Here is a 6,190-nt window from a genome sequence, read left to right as displayed (position 1 = left end):
TGTCTCTCATAGTTTCCTGCCTTCTTTTAATGAGCAGAACACCCTCACACCTTTCTTTCCCATCTCCCCTCTTTCCCTGGCCATTGCAGTAAGAAAAAAGGATGATGGGACCCATTTGTCAGGATCACATATGAGAGCAGATTAAACCCACCTCTACTGCTACCAGTCCTGTCCCATCACCTCTGGTCACACAGACGTCCTTGTAGAGAAAATCCTTGTTTGCCAAAAATGTTAGAGCCATTCCGGGGCATTTTGTCCAGCCACCTCGGTTGTAATGTAGGGAAACTGAAGCCCAGAGAAGAAAAAGGGATTGGCCCAAGGTCACACAGTAGCAGAGGCCAAAACTAAAAACCACATTTCCAGGTCTGCTTACTTCGAGAAGAGTGCGTTTTCAGTCTAAGTCAGCTTTGACTGGAAGTTCTAGCAACCACCAGCAGGTGGGAGCAGATTTGTTTGAATGTGGGATGTTCCCAGCACTGAGGAATCAAATTCCACAGGCAATTGGTCTGGTCGCTCATTTGTTAGGGGAAACAAGCCTGAAGCCTGAAATTTTGTTCTTAGGTACCCTTGTGACTATGAAGATTGACAAAAAGTTGACGGCAACGATGAATTCTCTTCCAGAACTTACATCCCAGAAGGCCCTCCCCTACTTCGGGTCTCCCTAGAGGTAATGCTTCATTGAAATTTCTGACTCACAAGAAAAGGATAGCCAAAATACAAGAAATACAAAAATGCCATTATAATTTGTACTTATTGAGCGTTTGCCTAGTTAATTTATTATAATATCCATAAAGATCTAGATTGAATAAGCTTAAACCTGAATATGGGATAATGGTGTAGGACAAAGAACACTCATCTGGAAGTTAGCCCATCTGTGTTCTGACCCAGCTCTGCACACGACAGTGAATATTCCAGTTTGGCTAAAGGGTAGAGTAAGTTTGGAGGTAAGACAACAGGTGAGATAGGTAAGAGGTGAGAGATTAGGCAGAACCTGACTTTGTAAGCAACACACACTCAGTGTACAATAAATTCTTGTGTAATGAATGAGGCAAGAGAAAGAATCTGGGTCCTAATTTTCTAAAATAAAAAATTGTATTTTATTTTAGAGTCAACAGTAATCTTCTGAAGGATTTGTGCAAGGGAATGATACAATCAGAGTGGCACCTTCGCACTGAAGGAAAAACTGGGAGGGAGAGGGACTGGGGGCAAGAAGAGCACACATCTCCTTCTGGTAATGGCCAGCTAGGTAACTTGGACTAGCTGTTCCAGTGAGGACAATGAAACAAACTGGCTGAATGTAGAAAGAAATAATTGTCATAAAGAACTGAGAGATACTGAGGCTAAAATCCGGAAGAAGACAAGAACCCAGGGGGGAAAGCCCAGCACTAGAATCCTCTTTTGTCCTGATGGCTTCTACTGAATCTGGAAGAGAGTTATGAAATTGAGCTGCAGTTTTGGTGGCATCATAAGGAAAAAAGTGAAAGCTCAAGGCCCAAGGAAGTAGCGGATTTGATTAGCATTCTTGTCACTCTCAGCTGAGACCCTGAGTGGCTACCCCTTTGGGTTAATGGTGACCTATAAGTAACCAGCCCTTGTGTGGTCTTGTAAACCTAGATACTCATCATATGGGCAGTCCAAGGAACCTAAAGCCCTGATCTTGGATTAAAGTGGCCTTGGACAAGTAGTATCCTCAGGCATTTGAAAATACCCCAGCAAATGAAAAGACTCTGCTGGAAGGTATTATCATATTGGGCCTAGAATCATTTGTACAATAATTTTTCAAAAATATGTCAGCGTATAGTCAAAGATAACTTGGCATAAAAGGAAACACATAGACCATGACAGCCAGTAGACAACAAAAACAAACTCTCAAAGACTTCACGTATCAGAGTTACGTGACAAAGACTACAATAACTATGGTTCACTTTATTCCAAAAAATTAAAAATAAGTTTGAAAATATCTGTAAGGAACAGAAAATCATAAAGACTAATAGAGCTATTTTGAAAAAAATCAAGGTGAAAAACTAAACTATAACTAGTGTAGTTATACTAAAGACTATAACAATGAAACTTGAGAATTTAATGGATGGGTTTAAGAGAAGGCTAAACACAACTAAAAAGAGAATTATTGAATTGGAAGATAGGTTATAAGAAATTGCCCAGAGTTCTGTCTGGAGAAACAAATTATTTGGAAAAATAAAAAAGGGAGGATGAGAGACTCAATTAGTAGAGTGAGAAGGTCTGCCATATATTTAATTGAAGTCCCAGTTGAAGATGACGGCTGTAAATTTGAATTCACAGATTCAAAAAGCCCAATAAGTCATAGGCAAGATAAATTAAAAGAAATCTACTCCTAGACACGTTGTAGTGAAAGTAAAGAAAGCCAGAAGCAAAGAAGGCTATATTACTGGTCCAATTAAAAATAATGAGTTCCTGACCTAGAGCAAGAACAGGAGAGACTGAGACTAGGGGATGGAAGTTAGACCCTGGACTTTAGAATGCTTTTACTCATTTTTTTCCATGCTGAAAAAGGCACTTGTTAGAACAACCTGACACCTATGAGCCCTCCCTAGTTGTCATGCTTGGAAGGCCATTGTTCTATCGGTGTGTGTCCGTCATCTCATGGGCCATCAAAGAGGCAAATATTTTCCATGGGTGTGAAATGCTAGTTGCTGCTGAGGTCTAAGGCTGGAGAAATGTGCTTATATATGGCTTCCTAAGAGAAACCAGAATAAAAGTGAATCTTTGTAGAAGAGTTCCCTTCTGCTTACCCTGCCCTCATCATTCACTATTTCTAAGGAAAAACATACAAAATGAACAGTTCTGTGGTTCTCAGGGTGTCTTCCTACACTTGGGCTTCACTATATGCAATTGCTCCTTGGGCTATCTCATGCTGGAGCACAGTAACATTCCTGCAGGGGTTTATATTATAATACACTGAGCTACAAATAAAATAGGCTGTCTTTTGAGAGTGTGGGCTCCTTATTTGTTACTAGAGCTGTTTATACAAAGACTGAATGAATGGCCTCCTGTCATGGGTAGAATAGAGGAAATTCTGCTCCATGTGGGAAGTGGTATCAGAGCTCCTGTGTTTGGCTCAAAATCCTTCATGCATTTATTCTACTTGAGGGACAAGCATTTTTATGTACCCTTAAGGACTCTTCCACCACCACCACCACCACCACCACCACCATTACCACAGAAATCCCTTTTTCCAAGAGAGGAGAGTGGGAGGGCAGGAAAGCCTTCTCTATTGCCTAACCTCAAATCAATCAGAATGCTGTCTGACAGTGAAGACACAGACCTACCTTCACTTATAGCATGCAGTATGTGACCCACAATTTTGACTAACTGTCACAAAGGGAGGGGGTGCTGAATTTTTGATTCTGAGGTTCCATATTTTCTCTTCACTTTTTCTCGGAATTCACATTTTATGTAGGTCACAGCTCCCTCTCTCCCCCAAGCCTGCAGAAACGGGCACTGTATTAGGTATAGCATCTTCTAAAAGCATCTCCCTCCCTAACTATGAAAGAGCAGGAGCGGTGAGAATACTCCACTAACTCTAGAGTTTTTCTCCCAAGGACAGGTTGTATCGTAGTGTATTAAAGGGGCATTTGATTATGAACTTGAAGATCTAGATTGGAGCTCTGTCACCAGCTATTATACCTAGGCATGTGTCTCAGCCTCTGAAGCTCAGCTCTATCATCTGGAATATGGGGGTGGTAATAATGCCTACTTGTTAATGGGAGAATCCAGACAAAAAGGACTCCCTTTCCATCACAACTTCTAGCTTTGGGACCTCACCTCCCTTATCCAGTCAGATTTCTCCTTTCTCCATCTGGAAAGGCTGCGGTCACTACCAGATAGAGCCACTAGAGGGCCTCAGCTCTCCTGGTCTAATTGTGGAACAAACCTTTCCATTTATCTATTAAATAATTGTTTCTCCGAATCCAACAACAGCAGCAAAACACCTTATGCAGAAGCTCACTGAAACAGAGGGGGATAAGCACAGGGAGCAGAGACCTTTTTGAAGGAGGAAGTTTTAGTGCGCAAATGGATAGACCTTTATTTCTACACTGCGGTAGTTGCTGCCATCAGCTACTCTGCCCCTCAGTGAGGATGGTGATGGCTAACTTCTGTGCATCCCTGCCCCTGTTCCCAAGGGGTGAGAAACATTGATCCTGTACAAATCATGAACGGATATCTCCTGGAGCTGTGGAGGGCACAGCCAGAGTGGCCACATGTGGTACACCTGGTGAGAAAGGCTGCTTTCTTACGTGACTCCCTTACCCCTGTGATATAGTTTGGCTGTGTCCCCACCCAAATCTCATCTTGAATTGTAGTTCCCATAATCCCCACGTGTCGTGGGAGGAACCTGGTAGGAGGTAATTGAATCATGGGGGCGGTTACCCTCATGCTGTTCTCGTGATAGTGAATGAGTTCTCATGAGATCAGATGGCTTTATAAGGGGCTTTTCCCTCTTTTGTTTGGCACTTCTCCTTGCTGTCACCATGTGAAGAAGGATGTGCTTGCTTCCCCTTCAGCTATCACTGTAAGTTTCTCGAGGCCTCCCCAGCCATGCTGAACTGTGAGTCAATTAAACAAACCTCTTTCCTCTATAAATTACCCAGTCTCGGGTATGTATTAACAGTGTGAGAGCCGACTAATACACCCTGCTAGTCTTGCACCTGTCCTCAAATCATTTTGGGTTACACAACCCCCCTTAGCCCCTAATTAATGTACTCTTGTATCTTTAGCCGTGTGCTCTCTGCTCCTCCCTCAGGTTAAGTTCTACCTGACCAGAGGATTTTCTTTTAGATAGTCTTTTGACATCAGTATACTCTACATTTGTGGTAACAGCGATAATTCATAATAAGGCATTGAATCTTTCAGCAACTCTAGTCCCTTGTACTTCTCCAAATTGCTCAAAACCATGCTTTTCTGCACGATCTCTGAGACAGATTCAGTAGCACTCACTTCCATCTGCAGGCCCCTTTCAGTTAGTTGGGGCCATGTAACTGGTTTTAGACAATGAAATGCAAACATAAGTGGCACAGACTATTTCCAGGATGAAGCATTTGAGAGTCAGTTTACTATCCTTAAGCTCTCTTTCTTTGCCCTGTCGACCCTGAAAGCCATATGTTGAAGTGGGAATATCAAATATGGAGAGAACCTAGACCCTGAGTCTTCCGATAGAGGATGTGACCTGCATCTGACCATGTGTGACCTGGAAATCAAGCTTTGATATGCTAAGTTGCTAAGATTTAGGGACTTAGTTATCATTTCAGCAAAGCTTAGCCTAACTTGATAAATAGACTCTGGCACTCATCTCAGTGCCTGTACCATTAGTCTAAAGTCCCATGTACAACTCTTTCTGCATGTTTTACAGGTAGCTTGAATCCAAAATATCTCAGTCTTCTCCTAGTACTCTGCAAATATGCTCCTTTTGGTGTGTTCTCAGTCTCGGTGGACTGATATTCAGTTGGGACCTGGTTGGGACCTATAAGACATCTATAGCATTTCCTTCTATCTCCCCACCCCCATATTCAGAAAGTCATCACTCATTCATTGATTAGCTGTTCACTGAGTACCTTTTAGGTGCCAGGTACTACTCTGAGAACAGGGATATAAAAGTAGAAAAAAAAACAGTGAAAGAAATCCTTGATATAGTGGAGCTTATATTATATAGGAACAGGAGGCAGATTACACAGAATTGAAATGAATAAAGTATCTGGTTTATTAGATGATGATAAGTGCAACAAAGAAAAGCAAATCAGGGAAGGAGAGTAGAGAATGCTGGGCAAATGAGGTGGTAATGATTGGAGGGCAAAGACATTATTTTAAATAAGGTGGTCAAGGAAGGACTCATTGTGAAGGCAGACATTTGAGCAGAGACCTTAAAGAGAGGGTGTAAAGCCGTATAGACATTTACGGGAAAATGATTCCAGGAGAGTGGACAACAAGGGGAAATGCCTGAAGTTTTTGGTGTATGCAAAGAATAATAAGGAGGCCAGTGAGGCTGGAACACAGTGAGTGAAGAAGAAGAGAAATAGGAGGTGAGGCCAAAGTATAAACGGGGGCTAGATCGTGTAGTGACTTGTAAACCATGATAAGAACTTTGACTTTTACACAGAGTGAGATAGGAAGCTGATGGCGGATTTGGACATAGGAAAGACATGAGCATATTTAT

The 6,190-nt window shown here is 42.1% G+C and overlaps 1 long non-coding RNA gene across 3 annotated transcripts in view; it reads left to right on the top strand.

Annotated features, from left to right (window-relative positions):
* MAGEA3-DT (MAGEA3 divergent transcript) overlaps positions 1-6,190 on the top strand; it is a 144,351-nt gene that overhangs the window by 62,179 nt on the left and 75,982 nt on the right. For all 3 annotated transcript variants that reach the window (XR_938525.3, XR_001755976.2, XR_001755975.2), the window contains one exon: positions 562-667. This is a non-coding gene — a long non-coding RNA (MAGEA3 divergent transcript). The remainder of the gene's footprint in view (positions 1-561; positions 668-6,190) is intronic.

Source organism: Homo sapiens, chromosome X (assembly GCF_000001405.40).
Source record: "Homo sapiens chromosome X, GRCh38.p14 Primary Assembly".
Lineage (NCBI taxonomy): Eukaryota > Metazoa > Chordata > Mammalia > Primates > Hominidae > Homo > Homo sapiens.
This window is presented reverse-complemented; position numbering and strand designations above follow the sequence as displayed.